The sequence below is a fragment of the Homo sapiens genome, chromosome 6, assembly GCF_000001405.40.
Source record: "Homo sapiens chromosome 6, GRCh38.p14 Primary Assembly".
In the NCBI taxonomy this organism is placed as follows: Eukaryota; Metazoa; Chordata; class Mammalia; order Primates; family Hominidae; genus Homo; species Homo sapiens.
In genome coordinates this window covers 161,659,143-161,684,348 of record NC_000006.12, presented here as the reverse complement: position 1 = coordinate 161,684,348, position 25,206 = coordinate 161,659,143, and the positions used below count along the sequence as shown (strand labels likewise).

General features: G+C 43.9%; 1 protein-coding gene across 6 annotated transcripts in view, besides 2 other annotated features; it reads left to right on the top strand.

The window, feature by feature from the left end:
* The window catches only part of PRKN (parkin RBR E3 ubiquitin protein ligase), a 1,380,350-nt gene that overhangs the window by 1,043,418 nt on the left and 311,726 nt on the right, over positions 1 to 25,206 (top strand). The window lies entirely within an intron of this gene.
* Positions 1,577 to 2,154: an enhancer, noted in NCBI's record as "H3K27ac-H3K4me1 hESC enhancer chr6:162103227-162103804 (GRCh37/hg19 assembly coordinates)". NCBI's record gives its function as "activates a minimal SCP1, AML or CMV promoter by ChIP-STARR-seq in naive H9 embryonic stem cells {active_cell/tissue: H9 hESC(naive)}" and the evidence as "EXISTENCE:reporter gene assay evidence [ECO:0000049][PMID:30033119]".
* Positions 2,155 to 2,734: an enhancer, noted in NCBI's record as "H3K27ac-H3K4me1 hESC enhancer chr6:162102647-162103226 (GRCh37/hg19 assembly coordinates)". NCBI's record gives its function as "activates a minimal SCP1, AML or CMV promoter by ChIP-STARR-seq in naive H9 embryonic stem cells {active_cell/tissue: H9 hESC(naive)}" and the evidence as "EXISTENCE:reporter gene assay evidence [ECO:0000049][PMID:30033119]".

Genomic DNA, 25,206 nt, shown 5'->3' with positions numbered 1-25,206 from the left:
GCACTTTGAGAGGCCAAGGTGGGAGGATTGCTTGAGACCAGCCTGGGCAACATGGTAAGACCCTCATCTCTACAAAAAAAAGTTGTAATAATAAATAAATTTTTTTAACAGCCTTAAAATGAAAATTTTTTTTAAATAAATTTTTTTGAAAAATGTTTTCTCCAAGCAGACATGATTTGTAAACAATCTTAGACCACTTTCAAGAATAACTGTCCAACATCTTTCATCTGACATCTTATTTCTTTAAAATGAGAAACATTTTAATTATTTTGAATATATCTTTTTAAAATACTTAGAATATATTCACATCTTTACATTTAAATGTGGGTGTTTCCATGCTAAGATTAAAATCCACCTTCTCCCTTTTACCCTTTGTTTTATGCAGATAATTCAGGGATATGAAATTTAAGTGAAGAATTTGTGTCACCTTTGTCAGTTTTTAAATTTCAGAGCCCTATATTCTCTCATTTAAATCATGGCAGCTGTCTTCTCGCTGGTGTTTTTGCTGTGGCTCTTTGTCCACATCAATCCTTCTGTGCCACTGCTATCCCTGTCTTATAATGCCCGTCTCACCACACCCCAACAGCCTGCCTACAGCTATCAATATGGCCATGGTCACAGCAGTAAGCCTTCTTCAATTTCAGGAGTCCTTAGAGTATGTTTTCCATGTACCCAAGGACAGATTCACTCCAGTTCGCCCCACACCACCCTGCCAAGCAGCACAGGTGCTCCTGTCAGGTCTGACTTACAAGCGTTCAGGTGCTGCCCTGTCAAGCGCTATGGGTGCAGGTGATGTCAGAGCTGCTGGAGCCACCTGGAGCTCTGAGCTGAGGGGAGAGGAAAGGGATTGAGAGAAAGAGGCAATGGTCTTCCCCTTTGTTCGTCTTCTGTTAAAGGAGTCCCAGAGATGCCTAGCTCTTGCCACTTGTTTTACAATTAGAATGGAAATTGCTTCTCAGACTTTTGGCTAAGATCGAGTGCAGATTAGAATGAAATGATTCTTCCCCATTTTGACACTCCAGTCCTCTTTTCCCAGGACCCAGACGCGTCTGGGAAACTGGAACAAGAGAGACTGAGTTGCAATCAGTGGGCTGCTGTCAGCATCCCGACCCTTCTCTGCAGGTGAAAGCTTTATTGCTGAGTCAACACCAGGGAAGCCGTCCTTCTTCCTTCCCTTCTGCCTCCTCATAGGCCCAAAGGACCTGCTCTACTACGATGTCAGATTTCACTCAGCTTGGGCCCTTGCCAGATGAGTAAAGGGCACGTAGGTCGTGCCATGCATGCTCCTCCCTAAAAACTGCTGCTGCTCCTTGTTGCTTTTAGGATAAAAGAAAAATGTGAGGAGCCCTCACCACCGCCAGGCAGAAAACACCTGTATCTTACAGTTGTCCTTTCCGTGAGCTGCCCAGCAGCCTTGCCGGGAGACAGTGCAGTCTCCATTGGGCCACCGAGGTAACTGAGGCTCAAAGCAGCTCAGGGCTTTGCTGGGGGATTGGGGTGCATCCAGGCATCTGCTCACCCTCTACTGTGTGGTGCAGGGATGGTTCTTCATGCTGTGGCCATGTTCTGCTCCTCTCGCCTGGCTTCCCACCAGGCCTCGCGTCTTGCAGAGCGGCCCTCTGCTCCCTCCCATGTTGCCAAGTGTTTCCGAATGAAAGGCTGAGAAACCACAGAAGACAAAAGAGAAGCTGTTTGTTTCACCTCCAGGGCCCTTCTCCTGAACGCAGTGCCTGAGAATGCCCCCCATCTTTCTCCACCCAACCCCCTTGCACTCTACCCTCAAGAGCCTGCTCCCCGCAGCCCCTCCACAGGAGGCCTTTCCCCAGCTCCGATCTCACTCCTGCCTCTGCCCAGGGTAGTCTTGTTCCTCAGTCCTCACAATGCACCCTAACCATTTCTGTACATGTTTTGGTGAGTTCAAAATTTAAACCACAAACTTAAATGTGCAAGAAATGCCATACTTCTTTAGTTTCTTAAAATCAAATTAAATCTGACTCTTGGCTGACCAGCAAATTCCATCTCAGCATTCCCGGCTCTCTTTTCCTCCCCGGCATCACCCAAGCCTCAGGGAGGCCTCTATGGAATCCGAAAAATCTCTGGATGTTGCCCTTTTCCACACCTGTGTGTTCCCAAGTGGTTGCTCCACTGCTGCCATGCCCAGTGGAGCTGCCTCGTGGGGCCCATTGGGCAGCCCTCCCTGTGGACACCTGGCCACCTCCCATGGGGGCTTCCAGGGAGCTGAGCCCAGTGCGTGCAGAGCGCTGGTCCTTTCTTCCTCTTTTGGTATCTGCCGTCTTTACCCTGTCCTCTCTCTTCTCCTCACAGCCACTCGTCCCTGACTCTCTCTTTCCTCTCAGGAGTCCAGGAGACTTGGGGAACTGCGGCTTTCACAGAACCCAGGAGGCGGTCCCTGGTCTATCTGCAGGAGCCCTTTGCTCTTGGCATTGCAGACGTCCTCTGCACAGGTACAAAGGGCTCTATGCCCTTTGGCATGAAGAACGAGAACTTCAGGTGAACACAGTGTGACTTAGTACATTATCTGGCCACACATATCTGCCTACCCCTTGGGACTGTGAGCTCCAAAGGGCAGCGGCAGGTCCTGACCACAGCTGTGTCATCGGCCATGCACTGTCTGACACAGGGTCCTCCAGTGAGTGTGTGGCCAGCAAAAGCTCCAGCGCCACTTGAGCTGCCCATCAGAACCAGGAGCGAAGCCACCTGGCGTCAAAGCACAGTGTGGATAATGGCTCCCTGCAAGTCTCATTTTCAAATAAATACAGAAATGAGCATTGTAGGAAATCAGATGCTATTTTAAATTTATTGTTACTTGTAACCATTGAAATGAAGTATTTCTGGATCAATACTTCCAAAGACAATCAGGAGAAAAAAAAAAAAGATTTACTTGGACTCTTTAAAAAGAGTTGCAATTGGAAAAAGGTAAAAATGATAACTTAAGTTATTTTTCCTGATCAAGTATTTTCTAGAGATCATGAGAAGAAATTCCAAATAATATTTAGTTGCTGACAAAAATACGTCTTTTGCATTTTGGCCACAAAAGCATACCCATCTTTAAAAACCTATTAACAAGGCTGGGTGCAGTCGCTTAGGCCTGTAATCCCAGCACTTTGGGAGGCACAGGTGGGCAGGTCAGTTGAGGTCAGGAGTTCAAGATCAGCCTGGCCAACATGGCAAAAACCCTGTCTCTACTCAAAATACAAAAATTCACTGGGCGTGGTGGCAGGTGCCTGTAATTCCAGCTACTGGGGAGGCTGAGGCAGGAGAATCACTTGAGCCCAGGCGGTAGAGGTTACAGTGAGCAGAGACTGTGCCACTGCACTCTAGCCTGGGCAACAGAGCAAGACTCTGTCTCAAAAAATAAAAAATTTAAAAAATTTTAAAAACTCAAAAACCTATTACCAGACATGAATCACATTGCTTTTCAATTCTGCCCTTTTTCCACTTTGTGACTTTTTGCAGTTGTATTAAAGTCTTTGATTTAGTTTTATACATTTCCACAAGTAAGCTGCTTAGTACCTTTCCATGTTGTTTTAGGAAAAGAAAAAAAAAAAAAAATATATATATATATATATATATATATATATATATATATATATATATATATGTATTTCAGGATGTTTTCAGAGCCCAAGCATTGTTGGCCAGACACCTGCAGTGGCAAACAGAGACAGGCTTGTTTCTGCCCCCTGAGATGAAGTAAGTCTTCTCAAAAGGTGGCTCTCCTTTGCACTCTAATCTAATGACAACTAAGATTTTAAATTAGCACATGCCATTTTAATACTGACTGTAACATTCAGCAGCATGCTCATTGCATTAATCAAAATGTTACCTTATTCCATCCGTGAAGGGCACCCCTCATTTAGGCCACTACTCAAATGGACGCTCGAGGACGGCCTCAGAACTCGGCCATTCACAGGATGTCACCACCACACGCTGCCCCGTACTGCAAGGATTCACAATTGCTTTGGATAATAGTCCATATGGAGATATTTATTTGTTTATTAAGGCGTGTTAACCTAGCTAGCAATTGGAAAATAGAATTGTTCTGCAGATTTATGTCCTGTAGGTTACCGAGTCAGCCTAATTCATCACAAATACCAAGTGCTCTAATTAAGGAGAAAGGGGGAAATGTTCCTTCACATCCTTTATGATGTGTTGTGCATTTCCATCTCTTGATCGAAAAGTTTATTTAGAATAGCACAATGAATCCTAGTGTCTTTGCCCAGCAACAAGGCCAATTGTACTGGAATTGTCCCACTTAAAAATGGCTGGCTCTGGCCAGGGCACGGTGGCTCATGCCTGTAATCCCAGCACTTTGGGACGCTGAGGCGGGCAGATCATGAGGTCAGGAGATCGAGACCATCCTGGCTAACACGGTGAAACCCCGTCTCTACTAAAAATAAAAAAAAGGTAGCCAGGCTGGTGGCAGGCGCCTGTAGTCCCAGCTCCTGGGGGGGCTGAGGCAGGAGAATGGTGTTAACCCAGGAGGCGGAGCTTGCAGTGAGCTGAGATCGTGCCACTGCACTCCAGCCTGGGTGACAGAGTGAGACTCCATCTCAAAAAAAAAAAAAAAAAAAAAAAAAAAAAAAGCTGGCTCTGAACTGAAAACATTTTTTCTTTAAATCCTGTTTCTTAAAAAAAAAAAAGGGGGGGGGGTGGTTCTATTATAAACCAAAGGTACCTATTATTAAAACTTGCTTCCCCATTTTCCAGTACTTTTGTACTGTCTAGAGATGTCTAGGTTGGTGTTTAAAAAAAAAAAAAAAAAAAAAAAGACTTGAAACTCCAGCTTGCCAAGAAAGAGCCCAAGCGGGAAGTACCTTCCGAGGCTGTGGTGGAGGGAGGGAGGCCTAACTAGGACATTCCCAGTCCTTGTTGCCAGAGTGTGGGGTTCCTCCCGAGTGTGGCTCAGGGGTCAGAGGCGCGCTGTCCCAGGTGTTTCCAGCCTAGCTCAGTGGCCTGAAGCAGACCCTCCCAGGATTTCTTCCAGGCCAGTCTTGCAGGCGTCTTTAGCAGCCCCAGGATACAGCCTCCCTGGAATGTACTGGCTTTGAAAGATAAAACACTGTATCTCTGCAGTATTAGTCCTATAGGCACCGAAGCTGCAGTAGCTACTCAGAATCACATCTGCCAGGCCCAAACCCATCACTTGGCGATGCTCCTGAAATCTCTGTCCTCTATTCAAGCTAGAAGTTGAGTGAAGGGTGACTGCTCATGATGTGCCGCTGTGGCATCAGACACTCTCATCTGGAGCTGTGCTGGTTGGCATAATCTATTTATACTATGTTTAGAGACATGTGCACCTGCACACACATGCATGTGCGTGTGTGTGTCTGTCCTTCCCTCAAATAGCTCAATTCACTTCTCCTGGGGGTCACCAATAAGCATCGTGAAATGGGTGTGTTTTTTCTTTATTTGTTGCCATGCCTGAAAATTAATTTTTAAAAATAAAATCAGGCACCTAGGCTGGGCACAGCGGCTCATGCCTGTAATCTCCGCACTTTGGGAGGCCAAGGTGCGTGGATTGCCTGAGCTCAGGAGTTCAAGACTAGCCTGGGCAATGTGGTGAAACCCCATCTCTATTAAAAATACAAAAAAATTAGCCAGGCATGGTGGTGCACACCTGTAACCCCAGCTACTCGGGAGGTTGAGGCAGGAGAATTGCTTGAACCCGGGAGGTGCAGTGAGCTGAGATTGTGCTGCTGCACTCCAGTCTGGGTGAGAGAGCAAGACTCTGTCTCAAAAAAAAAAAAAAAAAAAAATCAGGCACCAAAATAAGAGTGGAATTTAAAGGTTTTTTGCTTAAATAAATGCCAGAATTGATATATGACCTGTATTTATAACCAAGGATACATGACCATTTCTGATAACTTTTTATGCTCTTAATTTGTGGTAAGAGCTTTACACTTATTATCTTATTTCATGTTTACATCCACTTTGTTAATACCATTATTACACTTGTCCCCATTGTATAGAAGAAAATGAAGAGCCTCAGAGAAATTAAGGAATTTTCCAATTCTCATACAGCTAGGAATGGTAAAGCCAGAATTAGAGCCAGGATCTTATGGGCCTGTGGTTCACCAAAAAAAAAAAAAAAAAAAAAAAAAAAAAAAAGTGATTCAGTATTGTTATTACCATAAAATCTCAGATAAATTGTGTTCTAAGCCCAAATAAATGTCTTTTATTTCTTGACTCTTACTTTAAAGAGTAAGAGTATTTTAAAAACAAAATACCATTCAAAATAGAGCTTTTCTACTTTTTGCCATTTAAAGCAAATAATTTGCATTTCATGGTGAGGTTAAGGTTATCTAGACAGTCTGAAAACCATCATCCTTGACTATTTACAAAATAGCCAACACTCCTGGAGGCAGTTCTTAAAAGATTTTTTGCCCAGTTCACTTCAGTACAACTGAAAATTTGAGTCCATGAGTAGCTGGTTTCACCTCTATAACATATTATTCTTGTTTACTGGTTATTTGTGAGTCACAGTGAAGGAGAAGTTTTCATTTTCTTTTAGAAACACTGATTCAAGTCAAGCACCTTAATGTTAGTCAAGCTTGAGATTTGGTAATAACATCTCACTTTCTCCACTTAGTGTCCTGAGGTTGATGCTTGCCATTGAGAAATTTTTTAAAATTTCAACCTCAGGATCATAAACACTGTGTTCAAATTTCAGTGTGCTATTTGGCGTCAGTCATAGAAGTTCCCATCCACCAGTGCAGTGTGTGTGCTGCCGAGGTGAGCACCAGCTGCCAGCATAGAAGGCACCCTTGCTCCGTCTACCTCATTGGGAGGTCACAGCAGTGCTGGCTTCGTGCTACCACTTCACAGACAAGGAAACCAAGGCTTGCAGCAGTCAGTGGTTTACCTTGGGCTGCATGGCAACGGAGAAGCCGACACTCAGTTCTAGCTCATCAGAGTCCGCATTTCTATTTGTGATATCATACAGTGTCATGTGACATCATGTGATACCATGCAAGGCATCAGTGAGTAACTGCATCTCTCGCAATGCCACTTCCCCCATCTTCACCCCCCTCACCAAACACTTCTCCAAGGCTAAGATTTCATTGTAGAGAACTATTGATTCTCTTCTATATCACTCCTACTTTTCCAGATCGGAAAATAGATAATCCACTTGTATCACCCCTGTTTCCTGGATAACTCACCTAGAAATGGTCTAATCTGTTTACATCTTTTTATCCAGGTGAAAATGCCTTAGTGAAAGGCATCTGGGGCATTTTATGACTTGGAAAATCACAAGAATTGATGTAAAATAGAGCAGAGGAGCCAAAGCAAATATATATTCATTAAGGGCTATTTGCAATTATAGTGAGCTGAGTGGTTTTGTGCATTCTCCTTGAACATGATGAAAGACCGCAGATTACTCTAGCATCATTGCAGACAAAGCTACTTAAACTACTAATTACACCACCAAGGAGCTGTTTTTTTCTCATCCCTGTAGTCTGACAGAGCCAACTTTTTTTCTCAGAATGTTATTCCCTGCTTGTGTCTCACCCTGTCCTTCAGAATTCAATCAGCATGTCTCACAGCAGCACCCTACATGAAACCAGATTGCTGGAAAGTCCCCAAAACAGGCCAGCCTTTGACTAGGCCTGCCAATCTAAGGCAAGGGTCTGCAGGCTTTTCCTGCAGAGAGCCAGATAATATTATGTATTTTGGATTTTGCAGGCCATAGGGTCTCTGTCCCAGCTACTCAACCACGCTGTCGCAGCACAAAAGGAGCCCTAGACAGTCCATGAACGAATGAGTGAGGCTGCTGAGTTCCAATCAGACTTTACTTACAGACACTGACATTTGAATTTTATATTATTTTCTGTCATCATGAAATAGTATTCTTTGAAATTTTTTCCCAACCATTTGAAAAAGTAAAAACCATTCTTAGATCAGAGCCAGTTTGCTGACCTGAGCTCCAAGGCATTTTAGCTGGCTAGGAAATGGCTGGGCTAGGAACTGCTGCAGGAGCTTTCTTTACCTTGAATCATTGATCTATTGAACTCCAGATCAGATTATGCAAATTAATGTAGTGGGTCCCTGATTAAAAGAGACTCAAGAACTCCTTGTTGGAGAGACATTGTTAGATAGCACTACATCCTACTTCTCTTGGGTGGCCAAGTACGAACCCAGGCCAGCATCTCTCCTTCATGGCCCACAGTTTCTAGTGGCACCAGAGTGCAGCCAGGGGCTGCAGGCTTGGAAGATCCTGGAGTGAAAGAGAGGACAGGAATTGTTTAGGAATCGTAGTCACTGCCGAGTACTACCCATTTAGGACTCAGAGTGCCTCTCAGAGGTCACATAATTCAGGAAACTGGAAGGAAAAGATAACTCAAGACTTAAGCAGAGCTCTTGCTACATGTGACCTGAAGCAGCCTCACCTGAGTGCTGCAAACACTATTTACATTTCAAATGCATTTTCAAATTTACTTTTATGGCTACTCTCAGAGGTGTTTTTAATACATGTAAAGCACAATCTTCACAAAAAGCCTTCCGCAGGAACTGTAAAAAATATTTTATGTCTTTATTTCTAAAAGTCCTTTGTAATTCCTTGAGGACCTTCTTGTGAGGAATATAGACTACAGGTCATGATGTAAAGGAAGAAATAAGTGGAATAGTAGGTTAGGATGTATGAGCTGGGGAATATAATGAGGAGAAAAAGACAAAACGGCATAGTAAGCAGCAAGAGAGCATATAACAGGTTGACAAGGAGATGAAGAAGATTCATTCTTGCTGCTCACACCACTGCCCGTGAACTCAGATGCCGACACCCCCAGAAGTAAAATACAGCATCACAGTTGTCTTTGCGTTTTTATCAGACAGAGTTATTAAATTGCCTGTTTCATAACACAGGTGATTATCCTCTCTATAAATGCTGCATTTTATTATCATTATAAAGGATGCATTTGTTGTTTCTCTGCAAGGATACAAGCGCTCCTCTCTATGTTTCCATGGAGACTACACCAGGATCTAGTACTGGGCACTCAGACATGATACCTTATGTGACCGTAGTTAGTCGGTGATCTTCAACTACCGCAGCCCAGGGAGGGAATCTGTTGTACATTTCCTCTGAGGTTGTAGGCCACAAGTCTTTCCAAATACTGGGGAGTTGGGTTTCAATTTAAATAAAATGGTTATTGAGCACCAGCTATATTTATGCATTGTGCTCAGTTCTGGGGATTAAAAGGTAATAGAGACACGGCTTCTATTCTTCAGGGATGTATGACTCCAGGGGAAAAGAATGCCTGGAGAATGAAACCAGAGCAAGCCCTTGTGTAAGTTTCCAACTGTATCTGTCTTCTTGCTAAGGCAAAAGTCACTGGAGGTGTATGACACCCAGAGCTAATCAATAGCAAGCCCTGGGCAAAATACGGTGACTGTCAAGAGGCTTGCCCACAAGGGGCTCCTTGGCGCTGCCTCCTTCCTACCCTTGACTCTTCATCATCCCAGTAGACACTAGCCCCAGAGGGCAGCTGTGCAGAGACCAACTCTTCTACTTGTACATCAACCAAAGACAATAGAACAGAGCTGTGACTTTAGAAATACATATTTTATTTGATCAGAGCTGAGATGTCACAGATTATATGATGTATCTTTTTTGTGTATTCCTCTAAGAAGGAAAAAATAGCATCAGTTCTGATCATAAATGTCAGTGTTAGGGTGATGGGTACATTAGAAGCCCAACCCCCACAATTACGCATGTAATATCCATGAAACAAACAAGCACGTGTACCTCCTGAATCTAAAATTTAAATTTTTAAAAAATTATAGTTCTAAGATGCTGTCAATTGTATGATACATTGTGATTTCAGGGATGTTAAAATGTGGGAAAAATGTGCATTTTAAAATAAAGGAAACATAATCATTATTGGAGTAAATCCTTGAACAGCCACCAACTGTGGTTAACCTAATAGAGACTATAGGAGCAGTAATGATAATGCAGATGAGTGTGGTAATTTAAAATTTACAGAGCAATTTATTTAAATTTATTTATTTGAGATACTAGATTAAAAATAAAACAATTATACAGCAAAGCCATCCTTTGACAGCCAGTCTACTATGTTGACAGCTGATAAGCCTTCAGTTCATACTTAGGATACTTCATGATATTATATGATCTTGTGGTTCTTCTTTAACTCCCAGCCCAGAACTCAGTCTAAACGTTGTGATTCCCTGGGGCTTAGTCTTAGACCCCTTCTCCCCCTTTGTTTCTTTTTTCCCAGTCTGTATTCCCTCCGTAGGTAGTCTTATCCTTGCATCATTGACTTAAATACTCACCATATGCTGATAATTCCAAAATGTATAGCTTTAGCTCCAACTTTACCCTTGATCCCCAAAATTAAACCTCTAGCTGCCACCCTGACTTCCCCATAGTTCCTAATGGTGTCTCCTGCTTCATAATGCCAAATATGAATGTGTGATCCTTCTTTTGCTTCAGTCATCATCACCTCCATAAATGGACACAAGCATCATCTCCAAGTTATCTTGACTCCTCTCTTGCTCTCACACCACACATGCTACCTACCCATCAGCAAATCCTGCAGACAATTCCTTCAAAACACCTTCCACAATCTGACCATGGCTTGGACCGTGGCCCAAGCCACCATGGGCTGTTTCCTGGATTACTGCAACAGCCCCCAGCTGATCTTCCACCTCCCCACTTCTCTGCTGCTTCTCCTTCCAGCCTGGTCTCCAAACAGATGCCAGAGCAGTCATTTTAAAATTGAAGTCAAATAACGTCCCAACTCTGCTCAGACTCCAATGGCTTCTCAGCTCCCTTGGAATAAGCCAAAGTAGTTAAAATGGGTGCCTGGCCAATGTGCCCTGGCCCCTGCTGAGTCACTGCCATCCTTTCAAGCCTTTCTCTCAAACCTCAATCTGCTTCCCGTCAGGGTCTTGCTCCCTTGTTCCTTCTGCCTGGAACCCTTTCCCAGTTTCCAGAAGGCTCACACCTGACTTCATTTAGGTCTCTGCTGAAAAGCAACTTTATCATCAGTGGTCTTCTCTGAGGACTTGCCTCCTTCTCCAGGCATTCCCAGCCCCCACCCCGCACACTTATCCCCATGGGACTTGGGTTTCCATGTTTGTCTCCTGCGGTGTGCATGGTGGGCTCTGTCTTGCCTTCTTGGATGAGTGTGTGTGAGGGTGGAGACCATCTCCCTACGATTCACTCTCTATCCCTAGTCCTCAGGGGAGTGCCGGGCCGAGTGGACAGCATTCCAGAAGTGTGTTCTGCACGGGTGATTATGAAGTTATGTGGCTGGATTCACTGTGTGGTTCATCAGTCCTGTTGCTTTATAGTTATGAAGGATCTCATCAGTGCTGGCCGAGATCCTTTTCGGTTGTGCATGTTCCATTGATACTGTCATTTGATGCCTGGTGGGTAGGAAATTCATAGAAAACACTTTATAATAATTTCAATTTTGGATGATTCTAGAATAGGTCAGAGACTCAAGAGTTCTTGTGAAATAAATTGCTCATAGTTTAGTACAGGAAAGGCCTTATTTCATCGTATTTTAAATTTTTGTTTTGTTTTGTTTTGTGTAATGGAGTCTTGCTCTGTCACCCAGGCTGGAGTGCAGTGGTGTGATCTCGGCTTACTGCAACCTCCACCTCCCGGGTTCAAGTGATTCTCCTGTCTCACCTTCCCAAATAGCTGGGATTACAGACATCTGCCACCACACCCAGCTAATTTTTGTATTTTTCATAGAGACGGGTTTTCACCATGTTGTCCAGGCTGGTCTCGAACTCCTGACCTCAGGTGATCCACTGGCTTTGGCCTGCCAAAGTGTTGGGATTACAGACATGAGCCACTGCACCCAGCCATATTTTAAATTTTAAGTTGAGAATATGCTGGGATATCTTTAAGATTAATATTAGAATACCATATCATAGTTCAGTGAAAAGCTTGTTAAAATGAATAAGAAATAAATCTCTACATTATTTATAGTTATTAAAATTGTGTTTAGACATTTACATGGGCATAAAGTTTTATTATCTAGCATTCACATTTTTTTAAGTTGACATATGGTGAATTAATGGTGTTCAGGGTTTGGGGTTTTATTTTCCTATCAGAATTACAATACAATTTATACATTTAGTATCTACACGTTATCTGCATCTCCTGTCTTTTGTTGGAAATCAGACTGTGCTGCCTAGAGTTTAGGGTGGTCCATTGTTACTCATATAACCTGCAGGTCGAATAATTTATTAGTGTGGTTGATTTGTCTTCAAGAGTTACCAAGAAAGTTGAACTCAGCTTGGCATGACATATCATTGCTGCTTAAACAAAGGAAGTGTGTGGACCGCTCCAAGCAAGAGTGAACTCTATCGAGTTCATGAGATTTCACTGCAGTTTCCAGAAGCGTCGGCTACCACTGTGGAGCAGCAGAACTTTATATTAGTCTGTACTAAATCTGACTGAGACCAAAAAATGTGTCTAGAATAAAACCCTCGAAAATGATAACAAACAGAGGACAAGACAACCAAGGGACTGGGTAATAACATTAAGTGATGAACACAGCGTTGTTTATTCTGGTCAACATTACATTTTGTCTCTTCTCTTTTCAGTTTATGATTACATGCTCTGGAAAGAAAAAACAATGATATACAAAACGATAATCTTTTAATACAGTCTCTGAAGGACCATGCTTGCTTTATGACTTTGCTCTTTCCACTAGTCTTCACTTTTATTGGCCGGCCAGTTCATGTCCCCCATCCAGATTACTCAAATTACAAACAGGGGAGGAACTACGGTAGCCCGTCAGTCATACTGTGGAATATTGAAAATGTCACATCCATCCAGCATCACACTTAATTTATTGATATATGGAGCATTAAAATGTTGAATACTCCGACTCATAGCCTGGATGATAACAGAATAAAGAAGCTCCATGCCGCGGATGTGTACCCCAGAAGGTGACAATGCAGCCGGTTGCAGTGGGGGGTCTGAGCCCGTCTTATTTCAGTGTGAGGTGCTGTAGCCTCTGTTACCATGACATGAGGTTCCTGGGACGCATGTACCATTCAGACTGTCACGTCAGCCTCACTGCCAACACTAAGAAGGAGGTGCACTGCTGCCTATTCTTAGAGATGTGTTGAAAATGCAGCAGAATCTCTTGGTTTATTATGTTTCTGAGAGCAAGACACAAGCCCCTCCCCATGCAGGTATCCCATCTGCGCCCGGGCTCAGAGAGTCCTGCTCACAGAATTAGATTTTAGATTCATGTTGTCAGGAGCCAAATTGCATTATTTTTTAGTGCTTGAGGGAAAAAAACAAACATGAAGAAAACACACGAAAAAACACTTCATTTCCTGTTATGGGTCGAATTATGTCCCCCAAAAAGATAATGTTGAAGTGCTAATCCCCAACACCCATGAATGTGCCTTTATTTGGAAATAGAGTCTGTGCAGGTGTAATCAGGGTAAGATAAGGTCATACTGGATTTGGTGGGTCAAAATTCAATGTGACTGGTGGGTTTTGTTTGTTTGTTTGTTTGTTTTTGAGACAGAGTCTCGCTCTGTTGCTAGGCTGGAGTGCAGTGGCATTATTTCAGCTCACTGCAAGCTCTGCCTCCCGGGTTCATGCCATTCTCCTGCCTCAGCCTCCCGAGTAGCTGGGACAACAGGCACCCGCCACCACGCCCGGCTAATTTTTTGTATTTTTTAGTAGAGACGGGGTTTCACTATGTTAGCCAGGATGGTCTCGATCTCCTGACCTCATGATCCACCCGCCTCGGCCTCCCAAAGTGCTGGGATTACAGGCGTGAGCCACTGCGCCCAGCTTGACTGGTGTATTTTATAAGAAGAGAAGGGACACAAAGACACAGAGAGGAGACTCACATGCATACAGAGGCAGAGATCGGAATGATGAGTCCACACACCAAGGAATGCCAAGGGTTGTTGGCAGCCACCCGAAACCACAAGAGAAGGTGGAACAGATTTGCCCTCAGAGCCTCCAGAAGGAAGCAGCTCCACCAACACCCGCTCCAGAACTGCGAGAGGATGCGTTTCTGTTGTTTCTAGCCACCCAGTTTGTGGCTGTCCCACAAAGCTAATCACGTCCCTTCATTATCTCCTACCTCCTCTCCTAAAGTCCTGGCTTGAACACAGCTGGGCTCTGGGAAGCGCACAGAGGATAGTACCCGGAGAGTCACTTCTTTGAAGCCACTCTATTGTTCTATACCTGCCAACACCCAGGGCTTCAAAACAGAAAAGAAGTTATGAGGTCAAAATTGTGAAATACTTCTGCCACATCGCTTATGTCTCTCAGATCTTCAGTCATCTCTAACACACATTCCTATGTCACTGGATGCCAGACTGAGATCCAGAGACTCTTGAAAACCAAAAGCTTCCCATTTCTCAGGGCCCGTTCTGCAAAGGGGCAGCATGCTGGGGGCTGAGAGCCTGTGCGCTGCAGGCTGGGCTCACGTGACCCCCACTGCTGCTGCTTTCCAGCTCTGTGACTTCAGTTACCTGGATGGTGAAACGGGACTAATGACATCACTGCATCCAGATGATATGAGTTAATAGATGGAGGCTCCTCACACCACATGTAGAAACAGTGATCATCCCACAGTCAGCTGTTGTTACCAACACTGCAGCAGATAAAAGCATGATCAGTCCTTCACTTTCTTCTGGGAGTTGAGAATCCCTAGTGGTTGAAGCAGAAGAACCATTTTTAAAGAGACGTAAATGAACCTGTCTCTCTGTGTGGTAAGACAGGTTACATATTGGGCATGCTGACCCTTGAAGAACAATCCTTAGTGAATTTTGCTTCCATTACATTGGAACATCGGAAACATACAATGCTGACATTAATAAGATTTCACAGTGAAACCCAAGGGATGGTCATTTTTTAGCAGGTGGTGTTCCAAGCCCAGCCAAACATTGCTGTGGCTGCAGGGGAGGCACTGACTGGGGCTGACCCCTGTGTGCAAATTGGATGGGGAGGAGGAAGCTGTCCCATGATTAAAGTAGCTGGAGGCGGTCACTGTGAAGATGGTGTCTTGGTCCCTTCAGGCTGCTATAATAAAACTTAATAAACTCAGTATCTTACAAACAACAACATCTATTTCTCACAGTTCTGGGTGCTGGGAAGGTGCTGGGAAGTCCAAGATCAAGACGCTGGCAGATTTGGTGTAGGATGAGGGCCCACTTCCTTGTTTGTAAAGGATTGTGTCTTTTTGCTGTGACTTCCCATAGTGAAAGTGGCAGATGAGCTCTCTCAGGCCTCTTCTATAAGGGCACTAATCCCATTGATGAGGGCTCCACACTCCACCCTCGTGGCCTAATCATCTCCCAAAGGCCCACTTCTTAACATCCCCATAATGGAAATTAGGTTTTAACATGAATTTTGGAGGGTCACAAACATGCAGACCATATAGCATGTGGAGAGGAGTGCCTTAGTCACAGTGGGGTAGAAGAAGGTCAGTGGGGTAGAACCAGTGGGGTAGAAGCAGGTCACAGGATGTGGGTGAGATAGACAGCTGGCCTCATGTGAGAAGTCACTGTCACCACAACATGCTTATGAAAAATCTTCCTGCGCCATAGGATTGTTAATTAGTTAATATTGATTATCCATCTACTATGTGCCAAATATTTGTAAGTATAATGTATTTTTTTCTGCACAATATAGACTATTATAAAAGAAACCATCCCAGGCCTCATTATAATAAGTCCATCCCTCCTGTACTTGTCCGACCCTAACTGCCTACACAGAGAAGAATTAATGGAGCTTAATATCTTAGGGACCTCTTGTTCATGTTGGTGCAACTCTTTCTGGTCATGATGGTGATCAACATTAGAACCTGCCCTAATGTGAAAATGTTACATAACTAAAGCATAGAATCCATAGATGGGTTTTTCCTGTACTCATATTATGCTTTGTTCATTGTTGTTTGTATTTTTAATCAGCAGGAAATTTTGCATTGTATTTAAGAGCGTGTGTTGTTTTTATGCTCATAATGAGATCTGTACCCAGTTTCATGGAACTCTAGTTTTTGGCCATGACATTCAAGATGCCAATTGTACTGAAGCCTTTTTTTTTTTTTCTTTATATGAAAAACCTGTTTCTTCTTTTTTTTTTTAATGGGAGTTTTTTCTGGGCTAAAGGTCTCTAACAGAAAAATAGAATCATATTGTTACATTTTAGTAAGTGTCAGCATATACTACCAGATTTATTCCCAGATGAGCGAACAAGACTTATAGCTGTGAAATGTATGAACCACTTAAGCTAATGAATTAGGTCAGAATAAATTAAGAAAACATACATCAAGATCTAGAGAATTCCAATGTAATTTTTATTGCACTAATCCATACATTCATGTAAGCAATGGTAAGTTCCCATAATATTTAGCAGGAGAGGCCAACACTAATATTAGTACTTAACATTGTTTGATTATCTGAAATGTTAAATAAATAAACCCTCCCAGGTTTTTCTCACTCTTTTATTTTCTATGATTATTGCTGTGTTATGAAATTTAGGAAATGAAGAAAAGTTTAAATATTATAATAAGAATTACCTGTAATTTCACTGCCTGGATTTAAGGAACTATTAACAGTTTTGTGTCATAATATGTTGTCTTTTTGTGAACTTAAATAAAATTTAAAACATAATGCTGACTTAATCATCTATTTGGTCAACACATAGTTATTGATTATGTAGCATCTATCAGGGACTAGGGAAGATACTAGAGATACGAAGAATGATAAAACCAGCTCTTGACCTCTAGGAGTTTATAGTTGGCTGTAATTATGAGAGCACCCAATAAACCCTCTAACAAGGATATTAACAAAAGATTCTGGTAGTTTAGAGAAGAAAATAAACTCTGCGTGAAGGGGTGGAGAAAGCATCGCAGGAGATTGACCTGTGGGCTGGAGAAGGAAAGAGTGGGGATAAGCCTGGCCATGCGAAGCTTGCAGGATCCACAGATGTGCATCAGGGGATGCTCTAGGAAGGGGCCAGGGATGGAGTCCCTGAGGCCAGAGCACAGCTGCCTGTCAGCAATGGACCAGCAAGAAAGTCTAGCAGAAGGTGGGGGCTGCAGGGTGGAGGGCCTTGTAGTCATGCTAGGAACTGTGGAGTTTATCCTGTAGTGGTGTGAGATCCAGGGTAATAATGATGACGGCTAAAACTCCTGCTGAGTTTTCTATATGGTGGATTGAGTTGGGTTTGGAAAAGCTGAAGCACAAAGCTCAGGGGGACTAGTGTTTCTGCAGGGCTGCTCTTTCTGTGTGGGCCAGACTTTCCTTGGCTGTGTTAATCATAGAAGACAGACACTGGCCTAACAGGCTCATTCATTGTCTTATTTCTTCTCATAAATGCAGCATGGGGTAAAGCCTGGAGTTACCCATGTGCCTGGCTCTTGCACAGAAGGTGTGAGTCTCCCATTACATGAAGGTCCACCGCCTACTGTGGGGACTGGTGAGGTAGGGAGTGTAAGGCATCTTCTGCTGAGTGTCTGCCAGCAAAACTCCCTGGCCATTCCAAAGTGTGCTGGAGTGTTCTGACGCCTCTCACTGCTTTCTTCCAGGCAGCAACATCAGACTTATACTAGTATCCAATCAGATAGTCTTATATCATTCAGGACAGTGAGGGGCAGAGGTTTTTATTTTTTCCTTTTCTTTAATAAAATATGTTTTAAAAAGCAACCATAATTTCTGGGAAAGTCAGACATTTTGTAGTAAATTTGCCTTGCATGTAGTTTTTATTTGTTGCAATGACTCACTGGCTTTTTTCTTACTTAAAATCAATAAGTAGTGGTGAGGGGCAGCTATGTGTGAGTGTTGGAAGAACCAAAGGTCCTATGGCAGTGGTCCCTAACCTTTTTGGCACCAGGGACCAGTTTCCGTGGAAGAAAATTTTTCCACAAACAGGGTGAGTGGAGTGGTTGCAGATGAAACTGTTCCACCTCAGATCATCAGGCATTAGTTAGATCCTCATAAGGAGCACACAACTTACATCCCATGCATGTGTAGTTCACGATAAGGTTCATGCTCCTATGAGAAGGTAATGCCACCACTGATCTGACAAGAGGTGGAGCTCGGGTGATAATTCTCGCTCACCCACTCACCTCTGGCTGTGCGGCCTGGTTCCTAACAGGCTACGGACAGGTACTGGTCCATGGCTCGGGAGGTTGGGGACCCCCTGCCCTGTAGTGGGTTTGTCTGAGGATGCCCCAAAATAGATATTGTAATTTATTCTCGATCTTAGTGATGAAGAAACAGGATAGAAGAGGCTCACGGGACTGCCCAGGTGTGATGGGCTAGTAAGCCGCCCAGCTGGGATGGAATCCAGGCGATGCAGTCTTCTCAGCTCCACACGCTGCCCCCAGGAACCTGAGCCAGGAGGCAGGAGCAGACTCTGATGTCCATGCTGGGCATGGGCTGGAGTGGGTAGACATCCAGGCTGTTGGAAAAGACAAGACAGAGGGCCCTAATATTCCGCATCAGTGGTGAGGATGCCTTGGGGCTGCTGAGAGGGTAAAGGGGAGGCTGTCAGTTCAGCGTTTCACACAATGGGCGTTCATATAAGACTTAATATGAAGAAAAGGCCGATGACGTGTTTTGTTATTGTTGTCATTATTGAGTTTAAAAATCACTACTGGAAGTCAGAATTGCCACCTTGACCTAAAATGTTTGATACTAATGTAGGGTGAGTGAACCAACTTCCAAAGGAGATTTTGATGTAGAATGAACAAGGTTGGGTGACCTATTAGAAGATGGGAGCAAGGAAGAAGCAGTAAAGAAGAGTCTAAATTTCCGGCATGGAGCCTACCTGAATGCTCGATGATAGTATTAAGAAATCATAAAGAAATTTCAGATCTGATTTGTAGGGGTAGAAGATGTTGGACATTATCTCCTGTCATCCACATGGAAATAGTATAAATCTACCATTATGCAATAGTCATGAAAACTCAAGAAAATCAACAGAAAAAAAATGTTTAAGATCTTCATAGGTTGAGTTTGTTTGGTGGATACATGTAACTCTCTTCTATGTCAGCCTCAGTTACCTGTATACTGGCCACATATAGAGTTGGCCTTTTTTGGTTTTTCAACAGAAAAAAATAGCCATATCCCAGATTTAGGAACATAATACTAAATCTATATTAAATAATAAAATATAAAATTATTTAAATATTCCCATGGTTTAGAAGATAAATAAGAATGTTCATTGGTTTTTTTACTAGTATAATTTAAATAAAGCCTTTTGAGTTTTAAAGTCAGTTGTTGGGCCAGGCGTGGTGGCTTACGCCTGTAATCCCAACACTTTGGGAGGCCAAGATGGGTGGATCACGAGGTCAGGAGTTCGAGACCAGCCTGGCCAATATGGTGAAACCCCATCTCTACTACAATTACAAAATTAGCCAGGTGTGCTGGTGCACACCTGTAATCCCAGCTACTCGGGAGGCTGAGGCAGAAGAATCGCTTGAACCTGGGAGCTGGAGTTTGTAGTGAGCTGAGATCGCACCACTACACTCCAGCCTGGGTGACAGAGCAAGACTCTGTCTCAAAAAAAAAAAAAGAAAAAGTCAGTTGTTGTTTTTAATAAAATAAGCTTAAACAAATTTTTATCAGTTCTTTTATTGGTCAGTTTTGTTTTGAAATAACTTACTCGTTTTAAAATCCAGACTGAAATTCTTCTCAGTATTTGGAAAAAAATCCATCTGCCAGTTTATAGACAAGCCAGCATATAGGCTTTGACATATATAAGCTGTCATGAATAACTTTGTTCTATTAAATGACTAGTCACAATTTAATATTTTACCCTAGGATTTTTTCCCATCTGGCTCTAGTATTAGGCTGTATTTTAAAGGATACCGGTTCTAAGAAGTTGCCGTAACTATAAATAAAGTGACAGTTACTCGAACAGATAGGCTGTACTCAGCCAATAGCCTGGCCATTTAGAAAGCTGAACAGAACCACTTTACCCTATGTTGACAGTGAGAACAAATTGAACATCCTTGACTTAAGTGCCATTTGTACACCCCTTTCCCGTAACAGGAAGACCCTCTATTTCTTTTGCTGTGCTCATCTCTACCCAATACATTTAAACCGTGAGAGGGAGCTGTGTCTCTATTTTTCCCTGAAAAGTGCTCGTCTGTTGGCATTTCTGGCGGACTCCTCACAGCTGGATATTTGGGGTTGCTTTACATAACCTGGCATGTAAGGGACCCAGGTCACTTCTCCTCCATAAGCTCCTGACTTCCATGCATTGGAGAAGCTTGCCTCCCAGGGAGTGACTTACCAGAAATGGGGCCAGAATTGATAAATCAAAGGGGTTTAGGGGCAAGATCAGTGTGGAAGCGGGCCCCAGAGAGAAGCTGCATTAGCGGAGCTCCCGGGAGCACTGTTTTGACCTCAGGGTTCTGTTGATTCTGGGGCCAGCTAGGGGCGGAGCCAAAGCCAACCCAAGCCACTCCCCCATGTGCAGCATCCCAGCCTCTCTCCCGGCGGCTGCTCCTCGTGGTCCACCAGCCACCCTCTCACCACAGGGCCGGCTGTTGGGAGCTTAGAGAATCATAGGAAAGAAGGAGGCAAGGGAAGAATGGAGGGAGAAGGAAAGAGTTTAACTTAGGCCAAATATTGTTATTAAAATCATACATAAAGTGAAATCCTTTGCAGTTTAATAAAAAGTCCAAGTTGTTAAATACATTAACCTGACAGATAAAGTCTAATATTTCTGACTCATCTGGAGACAAAACTTGCCTGACATGCACTCTTGGTGGCAAATCCTGGCATGAACTGCAGTGAGGCTGTTTATATCCTTGATTTATCCCACTAAGTATGAATATTCATATATTTCACCACAGTTGTATCCATGTGTTCGATTAGACCCTGCTGTGGGTCTACATAAAATATGGCCTGTACTCTGTATTACCTTCCTAAAATCTGAAAAGTTCTGGAACCTCAGATTTCAGATACGAGTTAGGAACCCACATTCATATTCTCATATTACAGGGAAGGAAACAAAGACACAGAGTGGTCAGAGACTTCGCCAAAGTCGAAGGTCCGGTGTCAGAGCTAGGATTTCACTCCCCAGAGGCTGCTGCACTTGCCACCGCCACATGTATTAGTCTATTCTCATGCTGCTAATAAAGACATACCTGAGATTGGGTAATTTATAAAGAAAAAGAGGCATAATGGACTCACAGTTCCACGTGACTGGGAAGCCTCACATTCCTGGCAGAAGGCAAAGGAGGAGCAAAGTCACATCTTCCATGGCGGCAGGCAAGAGAGAGAGCATGTTCAGGGGAACTCCCCTTTATAAAACCATCAGCTCTTGTGAGACTTATTCATTATCATGACAACAGCACGGGAAAAACCCACCCCTATGATTCACTTACCTCCTACCGGATTTCTTCCACGACATGTGGGGATTATGGGAGCTACAATTCAAGATGAAATTTGGGTGGGGACACATCCAAACCATATCAATATCCTCGATTTATCCCACTAGGTATGAATGTTCATGTATTTCACCACAGATATCCTCATGTGTTCGATTAGACCCTGCTGTGGGTGCTCCATAAAATACAGCCTGTACTCTGTATTACCTTCCTAAAATCTGAAAAGCTCTGAAACCTTGGGTTTCAGATACAGGTTAGGAACCCACATTCATATTCTCATATTACAGAGAAGGAAACAAAGACACAAAGTGGTCAGAGACTTTGCTAAAGTTGGAGGTCTGGTGGCAGAGCTAGGATTTCACTCCCCAGAAGCTGCTGCACTTGCCACTGCCACGTGCCACTGTCTGCCATTCACCAGGCAACCCTTAGCCAAAGTCAGAAGTCCAGTGGCAGGGCTAGGATTTAACTCCCTGGAGGCTGCTGCACCTGCCACTGCCATGTGCCACTGTCTACCACTCGATACTTCCAAGATAAATGAGCAAATAAAAATACCACCACCACCACCATCCCTCGAAACAACAAAGTCCATTCTCCCATCCGTTCCTGTCACTGTGGAAGCTGCTGAAGTTCAGCCGAGTGGGTGAAGAGATGCACGCCCTCCTCGGTGGAGGCAGCGACTGTCTGCATCCAGGTCAGCACAGGCAGAGTGCAGTCAGGCTAAATCTCATCGCAAAATAGCACATTCCTCTTAGAACCCCCTCTACGTGCACTTTTTAAAGCTTTTTATTCCACCCCTGATGGCTTACTGAAGAATTTTTTTTGAGCCAACATTCACGTTACGAACTTTCCCTCTGTGCAGCTCATTCCTCATCTTTCCATACAGAATGGGATACTTATTTTTTTTAAGTATTTACTTGTACTACATGGTTTTTTTGTTTGTTTGTTTGAGACAGAGTCTCGCTCTGTTGCCCAGGCTGGAGTGCAGTGGTGCAATCTTGGCTCACTGCAACCTCTGCCTCCTGAGTTCAAATGACCCACCTGCCTCAGCCTCCCGAGTAGCTGGGATTCCAGGTGCCCACCACCACACCCGGCTAATTTTTGTATTTTTAGTAGAGACGGGGTTTCACCATATTGGCCAGGCTGGTCTTAAACTCCTGACCTCAGGTGATCCTCCCACGTCGGCCTCCCAAAGTGCTGTGATTACACGTGGGAGCCACTGTGCCCAGCGTACTTGTACCACACATTTATTCAATACGTATCTTTCAGGCACTGTTCTAGATGTTGATGATGTGGCTGTATACAGTACAACACCTCTGCCTTCACAGAACCTGTACTTTGGTAGTGAAAATGGACAAGAAATTAATAAGCAAATATACAGAAATGAGACAGCACTTGCTACAGAAAAAAAAAAAATGGAAGCAGGTGACAGAGGCTGGGGCAGGTAGTGGTGGGGAAGGGAGTTCCTGCGGTCTAGGAGGTGGTCAGGGAAGGCCTCTGTGGTACATGATATCTGAAGATAGATCCAAAGGAACTGGGATGGGCAGCCACACAGATATCTGGGAGGGGAGTTCCAGGCAGATGGAGCTGCAGACACACAGGCCCTGAGATGGCTCCTGTGTGGTTGAGTAGACAGCAGTGGATGTAACCTGCCAGGGCCCAGTGAGTGTGGAGAAGAGCAAGGTGGGTGCAGAGAAGTAGCAGGGCCCTGTGTTCAGAGGGCCCTGTCAGACTCCGTGAGGGTCTCCACTTTTCTTTAGGATAAGATGAGAAAGGATTGAAGAGTTCTAAGCAGAAAGTCAGACCTTACTTTAGGGGCTACCATGCTGGGAGAATTCTGTAGCTGGAGTGAAGATGATGACACAGAAGTCTCTTGTGCTAACCCAGATCAGAGATGATGGAGGTTTCCACCAGCAGTGGGCGTGCTGAGGTCAGTGAGAAGCCACCAGTCTCTGCACATACGAGAGGTATGTGGGTTAGATACTGGCATGAGACAGGCAGCAGAGTGAAAGATGGCACCGTGGGACTCGGCCTGAGTCACGGAAGACTGGGTGTCCACTTACTGAGATAGGGAGGGCAGTGGGAGGAGCAGGTTTTGGGTAAAAATCAATAGTTTGAGATTCAGCATCCAATGGGATGTTCAAACTGAGTCAGGACGTGCCATCATCATCAAATAGGTGGTCTTTAAAGGCAAGAAGAATGGATGAGATCGGGAAGGACATGTGCGCAGAGCAAAGGCAGGGTCTAAACCTGAGCCTGCAGCAACAGAGTCCAGACTTGTGAGAGGAGGACCAGACAGCAAAGGGGAAAGAGCGGCCCAGGACATGGGAAGGCAGCTCAGAGAGGTGAGGCCACTGCCGCTGTTCACGTCTGGTTTTTTCTTTTGTTCACAATCAGACTCCTTTCTAAGGAATGGGCCATGCTCATCATCTCTCTTGCCAGCTCACCATTTTTTCCTTGTGAATCTTCAGCTGTGTGTCTTTGATCTTCACAGAAATGACCTTTTAGTTTTTATTCCATCCCTGTTTTTTCCTTTGAATGGTTTTTAGAATTGTGCCTGTCCTTTCAAGTTTCGTAACTACCGTATTCATCCCTGGCCCTTATTAGTACTAACTGAGTTATTGCAATAACCTTGATTTACCAACTCTTCCACTTTGACCATCTGGCTCATCTGAGTCCTGCAGCCATACCAGGCTTTCAGAGCACTGCTATAATTCTGTGATTCTCCTGCTTCAGCTCAGCAATGCGTACTACGTGAATCAAGGTCAAACCACTTCATTCAAGCAGAGCCATGGCCTCCATCCGCTACCCTTCTAATTAAGTAATATTATCTGTGATAGTTGTATAGCAGACTAATAGTTCTAATCATTATAGTAATAGTTGTAGTAGTAGTAGTAGTAGCAACAGCAGTCACAATGCTTTTTGAGACCTTAGTAAGTCCCAGCTGCTGCCATTCGGATACATCATCTCATTTAATTGTTGCAGCAACTCTAAGAAGAGTTATTATAACCAGTACCCCTCCCTACCTGAACTCTGACTGTATGAACTCGGTAATGAATGGGATTTAGATAACACATCTCTGTCCAGACTCAGTATCAAGCATCTCATTATCCACATGTAGAACCTGAATAAGTGTGGATAGTAAGCAGTCCTGAGTCACCGCCTCCTTCTGCAGATACCCAGGGGCTTAGAAAGACCATTCATAACTTGCCAAGATCACACAGCCAGTGACGACAAGCCGAGATCTGACCTCAGGCCTGTCTGACTCCAAAACCCGACCTGGAGACCATGTCCTCCAGGGCCGTTGCCCACCTGCTTTTGTGTCAGCCTTCCTCCCAGTCCCTCGAGTGACACCAAGCACCTTCCCATAGCCCCTTCCCAGTGAGAGTCCCGCCCTGTCCATCCTTATGCCCAGCCCATAGCCCCTGGCCTTATCTGCCCCACACTTAGCACTGCTCTGTATCCTCAGCAGTGAACTAGCCTTCCAGAAAGCTCTGTGCTTCAATCTCATGCCAACATAGACAAATAGGACAGTCTCAACCACTGTACCATCACCAGGCCTGCTTAAACATGTGTGTGAAATTCAACATATCATGCATTTTTAGTGTCATCTACACTGTGCAAGGCTCAAATGAGTCCTCAAAGAGGTAGCCACTGGACTCCTATATTAAGAAAAGAATTATATATAATTAATTTTGAACAATTGTGACACAGCGTATATGCTCTATGTGCCCAGGATACATTTACATCTCAATGCCCTGGAATACTAAGTGTCACTGACTTAGAGGCACTGTAAGAAGTGCTATATAAACCACATCTTCTATACCTA